Below are 14,192 nucleotides of genomic sequence, written 5' to 3' on the forward strand. Positions count from 1 at the left end.
GGGTCGGGCACAGTGGTTTTCACCTGTAATCCCAACACTTTGGGAGGCTGAGGCTTGAGGTCAGGTACTCGAGACCAGTCTGGGCACCACAGTGAGACTGTTTCTACAAAAAAAATTTAGAAATCAGCTGGGTATGGTGGTGCACACCTATAGTCTCAGCTACTCAGAGCCCAGGATTTGGAGGCTCCAGTGAGCTATGATTGCACCACTGCACTCCAGTACAGCCTGGGCAACAGAGTGACACCTTGTCTCTAAAAAAGAAAGAAAAAGAAAATAGACATTGCTGAGCGACAGAAATCCCACCTTTCTAAACAGTCAGCAACCTCACTGGAGCTGATTTTTAATTCCTAAATCCAGCCTTGATAGTGACTTGGGCAACTCAACTCCCTCTCGGCCTGGGATTATACAACTCTATGTCAGGAGATGGGAAGCGGGGAGACTGGGTGTCTTTATTCCATTTCTGACATCTTTCAGGACTGATGATGGGGGAGGGCCCTGGCCCTGGCTGGCAGCCACTGTTCGATTCAGTTATCATCATCAGGACCGTGGGAGGGAAGGGTATTGGAGCAGAGGACCTTGAAGGGCGCACAGGAGGCTGATGGGGCTGTAACACCTGGGGCATGAGGGCAGCGGAGGTTGGACAGGCAGGTTGGGACCTAGCTGTGGAGGGCCTGGGATACCAAAGAGAGGCAGGACCTGGCCTCAGTGTCGCCAGGACACCAGATCTGCCCCCTCCCTCACTGTTGCACCATGGCTCCCGCGTGTAAAGTGATGGAACCCGTCAGACCCAGGTAGCCACCAGAAACCGCCCAGCTGTTGTGTGCATCGGGGGCCAGGAGTTTCCTCTTCTGCAATCTGGGAACAACGCAGACCTCCCAGGGCTGTTTTCAGAAGCAGAGATGTGTAGGTAAGAAAGGATAGCCAACCAGTACGGGCCGGGACACGAGAGATCACGTCATTATTCAGATGGAGAAACTGAAGGGCAGGCGTGGGACCAAGGGCCCACCACGAGCCCAAGGCTCCATCCTCCCAAGCACGTAACAAAGGTGGAGGCGGAAGACGGAGGAGAGAGAAGCGGGTGAAGTTGGGAGATAAAAGCTCCCCAGTGGCTGGAGGGCGGGATCTGCAACAAATGAAGCCCCGGGGCCGCTAAGCGGGCCGATTTCGGGGCAGGGACCCAGGCCCTAGCAACAGTCCGACCATTGGCGGAGCGGGGACACGCTGGCCTGTGATTGGCTCTTGCCATGCCCGAGGGGAAGGCGGCCGCCCCCGGGGCGGGGCTACATACACAGCCGTGGTCCCGCCCGGCCCACATCCGGGCTTCCGCGTAGTCCGGGCGCCCTGGCCTCTGCACCGTCCTAGAAACCTGTCTTACGTCGAGGAACCCGGGGGACAGAGGCGCGCCAGTGCACGCCGGGGCCAGGGACGAACGGCTCGCCAATGCAAAGGAGGCCCCTCGGGGAGACGGCAGGCAGCAAAAGGCTTCCTTGGCCGGGGGTCTGGGCGTTTGGGGAGGGGAGGTGCTCAGAGATAGGGCCGAGGATGGAGCTCCCAGGTGGGTTGGAGGCGGGGGTGGCTGGGCTCGAGGACGCTGTTGGAGTCCGGGGTCTGGAAGAGGCGATCCCCGGGAAAGCCAGCTTCAGAGCCGGGAAGGGTCGGCAGGGGACCTACTGCAAGAGCCCCCAGGTTGGGGTAGGGAGGGGGCCCAGACCTGGGCCGGGAGGGATGCTGAATCCCCCGACCTAGCTCTGGGGCTTTGCAAACCAGCATCACTGCAGCATTTTGTGGCTCAAGGAATGGGGCAGGGCGGCCAGACCAGCTGTGGCTGGTGCGTGCGTGAGGCCCTGAGGGATGCGGCCAATGCTATTTTGCTGTTTTGTACTTACTCAGTTTCATTTTGGCTCTGTCGCCACTAGGCGAAAGAAATCGAAGTGCTAACATACCACGGGGAGCAATGATTATTACTCAATGTGGCCCCGCCCCAGCAGCGGGAGGTGGCATCTGTTTGACCTTGGAGACTTGGACGGTATTTAGGGAGATTACATGAAAAAAAGACTCACCCCACAATGCTTGCAGTCAGCTACAAGCTGCCTTGTCCTTCATACCTTTTAGCCTTTATTTCCTGAGTCTATCTTGTCTGTTTCTAATGTAGTCTCCTGATTTAGGGCAAGAGAATATTTCTCACTCTTGGTCTGCCCACTACCCACAATCCTTGTCCGAGGATTTACTCGGCAAACTTAGCAGGCAAAACCCCTTGTCAACTTAACACTAAAAAATACCGTCTCTTGGAAGGCAGTCTGCTTTGATAAACCTAATGGAATAAAAAGTGAGTTTGCTATCTGGCTTTAAAGAACATAACCCAGCTGGGCATGGTGGCTCACACCTGTAATCCCAACACTTTGGGAGACCGAGGCAGGAGGATCGCTTAAGCCCAGGCGTTCAAGACCAGCCTGGGCAACATAGTATAGTAAAACCCAGTCTCTACAAAAAGAATTTAAAAATTAGCCAGGCCAGATAGCCCAGCTACTTGGGACGCTGAAACAGGATTGCTTTGAGTCCAGCAGGTGGAGGCTGCAGTGAGCTATGACTGCACCACTGCACTCCAGCCTGGTCAACAGAGCGAGATCCTGTCTCAAAACAAAACAAAAAAACTGACAACCAATGAAACCTCATCTCTAAAATCTGGCTTCAGGTTAAGTGAGTAAAAAGAGGCTTTCTTGTGGCCAGGCACGGTGGCTTATGCCTGGTAATCCCAGCACTTTGGGAGGCCAAGGCGGGCGGATCACGAGGTCAGGAGTTCAAGACCAGCCTGGCCAACATAGTGAAACCCTGTTTCTACTAAAAATACAAAAAAATTAGCCAGGCATGGTGGTGGATGCCTGTAATCCCAGCTACTCGGGAGGCTGAGGCAGGAGAATCAACGTGAACCCAGGAGGCGGAGGTTGCAGTGAGCTGGTATCACGCCATTGCACTCCAACCCCGGGCAATAGTGCGAGACTCCGTCTCAAAAAAAAAAAAGGCTTTCATTTATCTTCTCAGCTCCTACAAGCCAATGAGTGGTAGGGTAATTTGCCGACCACAGTGGGAAGAACTAATTTAACACCAAGATTGTGATTCCCCTAGTGTAGATCCAGTATGAAAGAAGTGTCTCAGGCATGCTTCTGGTTCCTGAGTTAACTCTAGTGAATAAGGTGGGCTGTGCTGTCTCCCCACCTCCCCCAGGCATAGGGGCAGAACAGCTGCAGACCACCAGGACCCAGTGGGCCAAGTGAGGATGTGAGTCAAAGCCAGTGCTTATTAAACCACCTAATACTGTACTTTTCCCATCCAGGGGAGGCAGGAGAGGATTGAGGAGGCAAATCCCCGAGCCCAGAAGACTCCAGTCAGAAAACAAGATGGTCCCCATGGGTAGTGGCCAATCCCTCTGGCCTTTCAGAGCAGTGGCTTTGGCCTTGTCCGCTTAGGTAACAGGCTCTGCTGCTGGTAGTTGCTTAAGAGCACAGAGTAGCCGGGCGTGGTGGCTCACGCCTGTAATCCCAGCACTTTGGGAGGCCGAGGTGGGTGGATCACAAGGTCAGGAGATCGAGACCATCCTGGCTAACATGGTGCAATCCCGTCTCTACTAAAAATACAAAAAATTAGCCGAGCGTGGTGGTGGGTGCCTGTAGTCCCAGCTACTTGGGAGGCTGAGGCAGGAGAATGGTGTGAACCCAGGAGGCGGAGCTTGCCGAGAGCCAAGATCGCACCACTGCACTCCAGCCTGGGTGACACAGCGAGACTCCATCTCAAAAAAAAAACAAAAAAAAAAAAACACAGAGTGAACCAGTGAGAAGGTTAAATGGAGGAGAAAGCAAAGTTCTTAAGACAAAAAAAGTACCCCAACAAGGGCAGGAAACAAGCTAAATGACATAGGCACAGACAACTGGACAAACCCAGAACGTGGGGCCTTGAGACTGTCAAGTAGCCTGGTCTCAAGCCATTATCAGGCCCAGGCGTGGTGGCTCATGCCCATTAATTCTAACACTTTGGGAGGCCAAGGTGAGAGGATCACTTGAGGCCAGAAATTCAGGAACAGCCTAGACAACATACCCATCTTTACAAAAAATAAAAATAGATTTATTGGAAGGCCATGTTGAAAAAAAAAAAAGAAAAAAATTAGCCGGAAGTGGTAGTGCAGCCCTGTGGTCCCAGCTACTCGGGAGACTGAGTTGGGAGGACTGTTTGAGTCCATGAGTTGGAGGCTGCAGTGAGCTCTGATTGTCCAAAGCACTCCAACCAGGGCAACTGAGACCCTGTCTCTTAAAAAAAAAAAAAAATAGGCAAAGAAATCTAATATTGAAATGCAATTAATGAATTTTAATTGGAGTCTAGGTGGTGCGGGAGGGGGATTGGAAAAAGCTATCAAATGCATTCTGAGGACAATTTGGAGAAATTTGCATATGGGCTGATATTAGGGAATTATTAATTGGGTGATAACAGTATGGCGGTTATATTAGAGAATGTCCTTTTTTTTTTTTTTTTTTGAGACAGGGTCTCACGGTTGCCCAGGTTGGAGTGCAGTGGCGTGATGTCAGCTCACTGCAACCTCTGCCTCCTGGGTTTAAGCAATTCTTGTGTCTCAGCTTCCCAAGTAGCTGGGACTACAGGCACGAGCCACCACACCCAGTTAATTTTTTTGTATTTTTAGCAGAGACAGGGTTTCGCCATGTTGGCCAGGCTGGTCTCGAACTGCTGACCTCAGGTGATCCGCCCGCCTCGGCCTCCCAAAGTGGTGGGATTACAGGCGTGAGCCACTGCGCCTGGCCGAGAATGTCCTTTTTGTAAGGAGAAATATGAACATTGGGAGTAAAATGCCAACAGTGACTTTCAAGGTTCCACAACCCATAGAGGAATTTATCTGCCATATCAAGGAGTGGGTCTGTAGCCAATCACTGTAACGTTCTTTTCAATTTTTGTGTTTGGGATTCAAGTGCCCCAATACCACCTAACTACCCTTTAAATGGAATTAAATATTCTAATTCAAGATATCTGTTTTGGGACCACCAAATTTCAACTATCTATATTTAAAATCACAAGGCCAGAGTCACATCAGTGCTCAAAGGCAGCAAAAATCCTATTTCAAGCTCAACCAAATTAGAAGAATGGATGGCAGTAGTTACCTCTAAGAATGGCAATTAATGGGTGATCAGGTAATGGGCATGCTGGGAAGAGTTTCTGATAAACCAGGGGTCTGCAAACTACTGGCCAGAGGGTAAATATGTCAAGCATTGTGGGCTGTATACGGCCGCCTCACACTTTTGTAACGTGTGTGCACTGCCAATTCAAAAAATAAAAACCAGCTGGGCACAGTGGCTCATGTCTGTAATCCCAGCACTTTGGGAGGCTGAGATGGGAGGATTGCCTGAGGCCAGGAGTTCAAGACCAGCCTGGGCAGTATAGCAAGACCTCAATTCTACAAACAATCCAAAAATTAGCCAGGTGTGTGTGGTGGTGGTACGCACCTATGGTCCCGGCGACTCAGAAGGCTGAGATAGGAGGATCATTTGAGCCCAGGAGGTAGAAGCTGCAGTGAGTTGTGATCATGCCACTGCATTCCAGCCTGTGCAAGAGTGAGATTCTGTCTTTCCAAAAAAAAAAAAAAAAGGCCCCAAGTCATAGTGTTCCTCAAATTCCTACGGCCTTTCCTCTCCAATACTCTGGATAACAGGATAACAGAGTGCCACGTGAGTCCCTTACATAACCTGAGATGTCTTGACTCATTGTCTTGCCAGTGTGATCCAGCTACTCTCACCCTAACTCCTCACTGACCACAGCGCTGTGTGGTTAATGAGAGGTACAGCTTGTGGCCATTCAGATTCAACCACGTTTATCCACATCAGAGTTGGAAAATTCAAACCAGTGGGCTAATTAGCAAGCTGGTATGCCACATGTTAATGTTCTGATTAGGCTGGTGACCACTGATTGTCAACTCCTAGAACAGGGTTACCCAGCTAGTGCTCAGAAGGTTGTTTCTCTGAGTAGGCTTTGGGAACTGTGCACCCAGGAGGGAGGTGCCATTCTTAGCCACTCAAATCACCCAGTGAATCAACATGCAGTTTCAGCTGACCAGAGCAGAGGCCAACGCATGTGGTCATCACACATAAATAGAGTGGAGGAAAACTGCTTTCATGCTTTGCTGTACTAGAAGGTCCCACTGAATTACATTTATGGCCTCTCCACTCTACCCCTGACCTGAAGTTCTTGGAATGGAGACCTCTGATGTTTCACACTGTTATTTTTAATCACCTTTCGGACAAAGTATCAGTTTTTGTTTGTTTTTGAGATGGAGTCTTGCTCTGTTGCCCAGGCTGGAGTGCAGTGGCAGGATCTTGGTTCACTACAATCTATCTTCTGGTTCAAGCGATTCTCCTGCCTCAGCCTCCCAAGTAGCTGGGATAAAAGGCGCGTGCTATCATGCCCGGCTAATTTTTGCATTTTTAGTAGAGACAGGGTTTCACCATGTTAGCCAGGCTGATCTTGAACTACTGGCCTCAGGTGATCCGCCTGCCTCGGTGTCCCAAAATGCTGGGATTACAGGTATGAACCACCACACCTGGCCTAGTATCGGTTATTTTTAAAATTCTAGAATGCACTAAAAAAGAGGCAAAAAAGACCTTTACCACTGGTGCCTGATCTACAGACTGATTTAATTCATGTAGTATGAGGTCTTTTTTGTTTATTGTATTTGAGACAAGGTCTTGCTCTGTCTCCCAGGCTGGAATTCAGTGGCGTGATCATAGCTCACTACAGCCTCAACCTCTTGGGCTCAAGCAATCCTTCCACCTCAGCCTCCTGAGTAGCTGAAACTACAGGTGCACACCACCATGCCCACTTAATTTTTGTAGAGACAGAGGTCTCACTATGTACTATGTTGCCTAGGCTGGTCTTGAACTCCTGGGCTCAAGCAATCCACCCAGCTCAGCCTCCCAAAGTTGACAGGCGTGAGCCACCGCACCCACCTAATGAGAACTTTCTTAACCTTATTCTGCTTCTGCCATTCAACTTCAATTCTTTAGGTTCACCCCTTTCCAACTACTTATTTGTGTGATACTGTATTTTTTTCAAATACTTCAAGTGAAACAACATATCACAATAGGCCAGGTGCAGTGGCTCATATCTGTACTCCTAGTGCTCTGGGAGGCTGAGGCAGATCACTTGAGGCCAGGAGTTTGAGATCAGCCTGGACAACATAGTAAGACCCTGTCTCTAAAAAATAAAATGGCCCAGCTGGACGCAGTGGCTCACGCCTGTAATCCCAGCACTTTGGGAGGCCGAGGCAGGTGGATTGCCTGAGTTCTGGAGTTCAAGACCAGCCTGGGCAACACGGAGAAACCCCGTCTCTACTAAAATACAAAAAAATTAGCCAGGCATGGTGGCATGCACCTGTAATCCCAGCTATTCAGGAGGCTGAGACAGGAGAATCACTTGCACCTGGGAGGTGGAGGTTGCAGTGAGCCGAGATCAAGCCACTGCACTCCAGCCTGGGCAACAGAGCGAGACTCCATCTCAAAAATAATTAAGTAAAATGGCCCGGTATGGTAGCACTCCCAGCTACCTGGGAGGCTGAGGCGGGAACACGTGAGCCCAGGAGTTTGAGGCTGCAGTGAGCTATGATCGCACTGCTGCACTCTAGCCTGTGAGACAGAGCGAGACCCTGTCTTAAGAAAACACATATCACAACAGACTGGACGCCTAAGCAGAGAGTACGTGTGACTTAGCTCCCAAGAGATCTGCAAAACAGTAAAACAAAGCTACTCTTGCACCTGTAACGGGACATTACGCCAAAGGAACAAGGGTGAAATAGCGGCAACTTTCAGGGGATCTACCTTCCTTCTTCAGTGACCCTGTTAGAGCAAGCTTGACTGTTCTGATCTTGTTCATATCTGTGCCAAAAGTGTTTTTTTTTTTTTTTTGCCCTCAGTAACTGCAATACTAAAAGTGCTTGGTCAGTTAAGTGCGGTGGCTTGGCCTGTAATCCCGGCACTTTGGGAGGCCAAGGTGGGCGGATCACCTGAGGTCAGGAGTTCGAGACCAACCTGGCCAACATGGAGAAACCCCGTCTCTACTAAAAATACAAAATTAGCTGGGAGTGATGGCGCGTGCCTGTAATCCCAGCTACTCGGGTGGCTAAGGCAGGAAATCGCTTGAACCCGGGAGGCGGAGGTTGGGGTGAGCCAAGATGGCGCCACCGCACTCCACCCTGGGCAACAAGAGCAAAACTCCGTCTCAAAATAAATAAAATAAAAGTGCTTGGTCAATGTGTGCTGAAGAGTTGGTTGCTGCCGCTCGGCCTAGTTTCTTATGGTCTCCTAGCAGTGCAAAAGCAGCCTGGTGTGGGCAGACCAAACTCAGGCAGGCAGATGCGGGTTATCAGTGAGTTACAGCACCTTAGGTATAGCAGTCACTCCTAATTCTACAGCCATACACTTGCAGTGGCACCCAGGGTAGTTCTGGGTGACAAATGAGTCAACGTAAGTGAATTCACTGAGTATATGCCAAAAGCCTATTCACAGTGTGTTATCATTCCTGAAATGTGAATTAATGTTTCTCAGAAAATTAAGAAGCTTGGCCGGGCGCGGTGGCTCACACCTGTAATCCCAGCACTTTGGGAGGCCGAGGCAGGCGGATCACTTGAGGTCAGGAGTTTGAGACCAGCCTGGCCAACACGGCGAAACCCGGTCTCTATTAAAAATATAAAAATTAGCTGGGCATGGTGGTGGGATCCTGTAATCCCAGCTACTCAGAAGACTGAGACATGAGAATAGCTTGGAACCTGGGAGGTGGAGGTTACAGTGAGCTGAGATCGTGCCACTGCACTCCAGCCTGTCACAAAAAAATAATTAAAAGCTATGATCCAGTTATCATTTAAACCTACAACCACACCCACACCCACCCAGGCTAAGAAGTTTGAATAATTTGCCCAGGAATCAAAAGGGGCCATAATTCTGGGAGGATCACTTGAGCCCAGGAGTTCGAGCCCAGCCTAGGCAACATGGCCAGACCCCATCTGTTTTTTGTTTTGTTTTGTTGTTTAAAACGGGCAGGATGGGGCGTGCCATCACTCAAACTCAGGTCTGTGTTTCTCCCCAGTGGTACCCCGGAAAGGCCCTCAGAGATCCAGTTGAACAGGCTCGTTTAATATGAGAAAAATGGAGGCCCAAAAGGTGCAATGGTTTGGTTTTGTTTTTTCAACAGAGATAGGGTCTCAATATGTTGCCCAGGCTGGTCTCAAACTCCTGGCCTCAAGTGATCTTCCGGCCTCAGCCTCCCAAAGTGCTGGGATTACAGGTGTGAGCCACTGCGCCCACCCTAAAAGGTGCAATTTTTTTTTTTTTTTGGAGACGGAGTCTCACTCTGTTGCCCAGGCTGGAAGGCAGTGGTGCAATCTTGGCTCACTGCAACCTCCACCTCTTGGGCTCAAGTGATTCTCCTGCCTCAGCCTCCCGAGTAGCTGGTCCTACAGACACCCAGCACCATGCCCTGCTAATTTTTGTATTTTTAGTAGAGATGGGGTTTCACCATGTTGGCCAAGCTGGCCTTGAACTCCTGACCTCAGGTAATCCGCCCGCCTCAGCCTCCCAAAGTGCTGAGATTACAGGCATGAACCACTGCGCCTGGCCTGGTGCAATGGTTTTTTTAAGTCCCCAAACCCAAATCTGATTCCTGGTTGGAGGCGCTTTCCAGTATCTACTGTCTTTCCCCTTTTTCCTGCCAATCCAACTTCATTGCTTGGGCTGGGGAGGGAAGAGAACACCAACATCTGATCCAACCTTCAAAAGCAAAGGACAGTAAAACTCACACAATGAAGCTAAGGAGCACTGGCGTCAGATCTGTAAGTTTATTTGCTCAATGTACGACAGCTACATAATGACTCACATTCATGATATTCCATCACTGAGGAAACTGCTAAAGATGGTCCGTGTGTGAAATAATTCCTTAGAGAAACACGGAGCTGGAAAAATAATCACTGATTAGACCTTAAAAATAGTTCACTGCATAACATGACAAAAAGCACAAAGGCTCATTCAGAGAACATATTTGTTGTTCTCCAACACTGTAATAGTTATAATTTCACCATGACAAACACCAGACATTAAGATTAAGCTAACACTGGTGTTTCTTTTGCTCCCCCCCTTTTAAAAACAAAATATATAACTGCATGTCACTATAGCAACATCCAAAACAGATCAATTTGTTACAATCACTATTTGGTAGAGCAAACTTTACCCCCAAAAGGAAAAATTAAATTAAAAAAAAAAAACCTTTAAAAAATTTGAAGACTTAATTTTTTTTGTCATAGGAATACATAACACCTACAGTATAAGTTAATCAATTTCAAGCTACTGTATAGAAATACAACACTAGCATGCACAATATTGTATCAATAGAGTAATGGAGGAGTAATCATTTCACTGGAGAGACAGTATCATAGGCAAGTGCATTTCTTTAAAAATAAAGAAAAGAAAAACCATTCAAGCTGCTTAAATATCAAGTCTCCCATTCCCTCTCCGTTTTCAGCCCTCAGGTGTGATTTTTATCTTGCATTATTCTAAAAAGCAGCCAGAGCCAAAGCTGAAATTTAAAGGAAAAATAGGTTTTGTAATTCCAGTAAATCATTTCCAAATGCTACAAGGAAAAACGCAACACTGCTCACTGGACATGAAGATAAATTAGGGAAAGCCCCACCTACCCTGCCCCCCCCCCCCTCCCCCCCCAAATCGTCTTCCTCCCATGGCAATGACTTTAGGCGCCTGTGAGAGGCACAAAAGCGGCAAAGCTTCTTCTACTAGTTCTTCTGGTAGGCTTCACTTAACTGGGACTTTTACTCTAGCGTGAGGAGGGGGCCTCCTAAGGAAAGTCATGCTGGGTAAACTGTGCGATGTTACAGAGCACATTGAGTCTGTGGTCATCGTGGTTCTTCTATCTTCACTGTCACCTGTATCCTGTTACACATACTCAGTTCCTAATTGTAAGCTCAATTTTGGTATTAGCAAAAGCATCTGTCAGTTTTTCCTCAATTACTCACACCTCTTCTTGCCTAAATAAAACAAAGAAACAAAGAAAACAAGTGTGGTGTCATTACACGTCTCGGGAGTTCCTCGTCACTGACTTTATATATATAAAAAAAAGAATGCACATGCGGGCCACGTTCACAGATAGACAGATTCACCCGAAATGAGAATGAGGGCCTTAAGGCTGCCGAAAACAAATGGGTGGAAATAGCAACGTTGTTTCCGTCAATTCCAAATGTGCACTGGCTGCGTGAGACAAGCCAATCTCCAATTCCTATGCTTTTTTCATTAAAAAGAAAAAACTATCTCGAGAGGAAAAAGTTCTGGTCAAATAGGAGTTCAGTGTTTGTTATCTGGTAACAGTTTTTTTATCTTCCTACAATTACTTGGGGAAGGAGTGTCTTCGGGGAGGAAAAACTGACACACTGACAAGGCTCCCGAAATTGGACAGAATGGTTAAGGATATAGCTCTTCCTTTTGGGTTTTTCTACCAGTAGGCTTCTAGCACCTGAATTTTCACACACTGCACCACAGACCTTCTCCAAACGCCTCTCCGACCCCACAGCTTCTGCACCCAGCTGCGTCCGCCAGCACGAGGCGCAGTAGGAAACGCCCCAGTGCAGAGTGGGTGACGGCAGTGTGATCCCTGAGGAGGGAGCTGCAGCAGCTTCAGAAGCGGGATGTTCTCTGAAAATACCAACACGATCCATGACATACAGACCTGAATTTTCTCTATTTTTGTGGCGTTTCACGTTTCTCTCAAGAGGATTAATAATTTTGGTGGTGGATTTACGTTAAGAGGAAAGAAGGACCAAAAAAAAAAAATCCCACAGCCACCTGACCTGAAGTCGCTTTCATTCTCATTTAGCCTAGGAGACCGATCAACAGCAAAACCAACCTGGATAAGGCTGAATAAGGATGTTAAAGCCCAAACAACTAGCAAAGGAAAAGTACACAATCGATGGCTTGATGTTACATATGGCTGTAATGTAGAAATACTGTAAACTGCAATTTAGTGTTAATACTGTCAACTAATCAGAGACTTCGGAAAACTGGCAAGGCCTAAACCATAAGGATGAATGAGACCTCAGGTTCTAAGTCTGTCAGTCTGGGATTTACACTGTTCCATGTCTGTAGGCTACACCCTGGAAAACATGCAGAGCCGAGACAGATGAGATAGAAAGTACCCAAAACGAGAGACGAGAGCGTATGTACATAAAAATCCTTACTGGAACCACAGAACTTACTGAATGAGGGCCATTCCTCTTTAAGTTTTCTTTTCATCTGAAAACCCTATTATCTAGCAATAAGTTAAATTAGAGACAGACAGCTCCACTTGCATGAATCTACAGAACAGTCCAGACGCCAGTGTGAGGCTGCTATTCCAATACCAGCACAGCTAGCCTGACTTTCCACTAGTGGTATTTTGGCAAAAATGTCAAAGAGGCGATCAAAGACAGGACAGGTCGTGGGTTTCTCCCTGGGAAGGTCATCCCTCCCTTTCCCTCCCCCACCCGACCCCCAACTCATGGGAAAAAAATAAAGACTGCAGTAGTAGCATCCGCGTGCGCTGCCAGTTCCCCTGGGGCCTTAATTGTTGCCTTCGCCGCCATCGTCGTCCTGCTGGTCGCTCGTCCAGAGCGTGAGGTTGTCGCGGAGGAGCTGCATGATGAGCGTGGAGTCCTTGTAGGAGTCCTCGTTGAGGGTGTCAAGCTCGGCGATGGCGTCGTCGAACGCGGTCTTGGCCAAGTGGCACGCTTGCTCTGGGGCGTTCTGGATCTCATAGTAGAAGACGGAGTAGTTAAGAGCCAGGCCTAATCGGATGGGGTGGGTGGGCTGCATGTGCTCTTTGCTGATCTCGTGGGCTTCGCTGTAGGCCTTCTCGGAGGACTCCACCACCGTCGCCCTTTTCTCTCCGGTGGCCACTTCAGCCAGGTAGCGGTAGTAGTCCCCTTTCATCTTCAGGTAGAACACTTTGCTCTCGTACTGGGTCTCGCTGCAATTCTTGATCAGGTAGTTATCCAGCAGGCTCAGCACATCCTGGCACACAGCCTCCAACTCCTTCTCTATCTTCTCCCGGTACGCACGGACCATCTCAATCTTCTTCTCATTGCCGTCTGCAGATGTCTTCTGCTCAATGCTACTGATGACCCTCCAGGAAGAGCGGCGTGCCCCCACAACGTTCTTGTAGGCCACAGACAGAAGGTTTCGTTCCTCATTCGACAGTGGCTCATTCAGCTCTGTCACCTGCCAGGAGGAAAGAACAGAGTTGTTATGGTACAGATGGTGTCCACTGGGTTAACTGTATCTTTGAGACACTAGAACAGAGCTCTGTTGAGTAACATGATGAACAGAAGGAAATTACTTTGTGTGGGCTGGGGGAAGGGGGCTGGAGGTGGAGCACACACAAGGGAGGGAAAAGTGCGGCTGGATCAATGGATCAACGGTGTCTGAACCCTGGCTTCCTCCCCAGAAAAGGACACAGGCTTATCACGTGTGTTCCACAAAACACTGTCAAGTCTAGGCCTTAGATGAGAGACTATGAGTACAGATGGTCTAACTCAGTGGTTTTTTAGGAAAACGGACTGACAAATTCCTCCTAATCCTGCCCTGTCTACTAAACTTCAGTCCCATCTCTTCTGGATAAGAAAATACTGAGTCAACTTCAAGCTGACTTCTGAGAAACATGGAGGCCTTTCTGCTCATATGCCAACACCATGTGAATTCTAAACCTCAGGGAGTCCAAATAAGGGGCATAGGATTGAGTCTGATCGCTGTGATACTTTAGCAACCCAGGGAACATGTTATTTGTGGCAGTGGGAGTGTCTGACTGAATACAACTTTACAACCAGCAATACAAAAGAACGAGGCGAGCACAGCGCCTCTAGCTGGGCAACAGGAATCAATGCTTCTCCCAAGATGGCCATTTCTCAAGGCTCCCGCCCTCATCACCCCCAAGGCTAATCACTTTCAGAAGACTAAAGTGGCATCTCAAACCAATGTTGTATATTTTTATGACTACAAATAACTGCTTATTAATATCAGCCAATAATACTAAATTTATTTACCTGGTTTCTATAGTATCAGAGTCATATACTATTACATTACTTGACAACCATATGAAATACATTATTATTATTA

The 14,192-nt window shown here is 48.3% G+C and overlaps 1 protein-coding gene and 1 long non-coding RNA gene across 2 annotated transcripts in view, besides 7 other annotated features; one reads left to right on the forward strand and one right to left on the reverse strand.

The window, feature by feature from the left end:
• Positions 182-1,178: an enhancer, noted in NCBI's record as "H3K27ac-H3K4me1 hESC enhancer chr7:75946434-75947430 (GRCh37/hg19 assembly coordinates)". NCBI's record gives its function as "activates a minimal SCP1, AML or CMV promoter by ChIP-STARR-seq in naive H9 embryonic stem cells {active_cell/tissue: H9 hESC(naive)}" and the evidence as "EXISTENCE:reporter gene assay evidence [ECO:0000049][PMID:30033119]".
• Positions 651-830: an enhancer, noted in NCBI's record as "active region_26198". NCBI's record gives its function as "activates an Ori minimal core promoter by ATAC-STARR-seq in GM12878 lymphoblastoid cells {active_cell/tissue: GM12878}" and the evidence as "EXISTENCE:reporter gene assay evidence [ECO:0000049][PMID:35858748]".
• Positions 1,111-1,350: a silencer, noted in NCBI's record as "silent region_18311". NCBI's record gives its function as "represses an Ori minimal core promoter by ATAC-STARR-seq in GM12878 lymphoblastoid cells {active_cell/tissue: GM12878}" and the evidence as "EXISTENCE:reporter gene assay evidence [ECO:0000049][PMID:35858748]".
• Positions 1,111-2,175: a biological region, named in NCBI's record as "H3K27ac-H3K4me1 hESC enhancer GRCh37_chr7:75947431-75948427".
• Positions 1,179-2,175: an enhancer, noted in NCBI's record as "H3K27ac-H3K4me1 hESC enhancer chr7:75947431-75948427 (GRCh37/hg19 assembly coordinates)". NCBI's record gives its function as "activates a minimal SCP1, AML or CMV promoter by ChIP-STARR-seq in naive H9 embryonic stem cells {active_cell/tissue: H9 hESC(naive)}" and the evidence as "EXISTENCE:reporter gene assay evidence [ECO:0000049][PMID:30033119]".
• FPASL (fibroblast proliferation associated lncRNA) lies at positions 1,312-5,351 on the forward strand. Its single transcript, NR_186616.1, has 2 exons — positions 1,312-3,512; positions 4,784-5,351. It is a non-coding gene; the product is annotated as a fibroblast proliferation associated lncRNA (long non-coding RNA).
• A 4,512-nt stretch (positions 5,352-9,863) lies between these two features.
• YWHAG (tyrosine 3-monooxygenase/tryptophan 5-monooxygenase activation protein gamma) overlaps positions 9,864-14,192 on the reverse strand; it is a 32,193-nt gene continuing 27,864 nt past the window's right edge. Inside the window, exon 2 of the mRNA NM_012479.4 lies at positions 9,864-13,298. Within this exon, the coding sequence (NP_036611.2) occupies positions 12,642-13,298 (657 nt within the window). The 3' untranslated portion in view covers positions 9,864-12,641. The remainder of the gene's footprint in view (positions 13,299-14,192) is intronic.
• Positions 11,128-11,628: an enhancer, noted in NCBI's record as "H3K4me1 hESC enhancer chr7:75957380-75957880 (GRCh37/hg19 assembly coordinates)". NCBI's record gives its function as "activates a minimal SCP1, AML or CMV promoter by ChIP-STARR-seq in naive and primed H9 embryonic stem cells {active_cell/tissue: H9 hESC(naive and primed)}" and the evidence as "EXISTENCE:reporter gene assay evidence [ECO:0000049][PMID:30033119]".
• Positions 11,629-12,129: an enhancer, noted in NCBI's record as "H3K4me1 hESC enhancer chr7:75957881-75958381 (GRCh37/hg19 assembly coordinates)". NCBI's record gives its function as "activates a minimal SCP1, AML or CMV promoter by ChIP-STARR-seq in naive H9 embryonic stem cells {active_cell/tissue: H9 hESC(naive)}" and the evidence as "EXISTENCE:reporter gene assay evidence [ECO:0000049][PMID:30033119]".

This window comes from Homo sapiens, chromosome 7, assembly GCF_000001405.40.
Source record: "Homo sapiens chromosome 7, GRCh38.p14 Primary Assembly".
Classification (NCBI taxonomy): domain Eukaryota; kingdom Metazoa; phylum Chordata; class Mammalia; order Primates; family Hominidae; genus Homo; species Homo sapiens.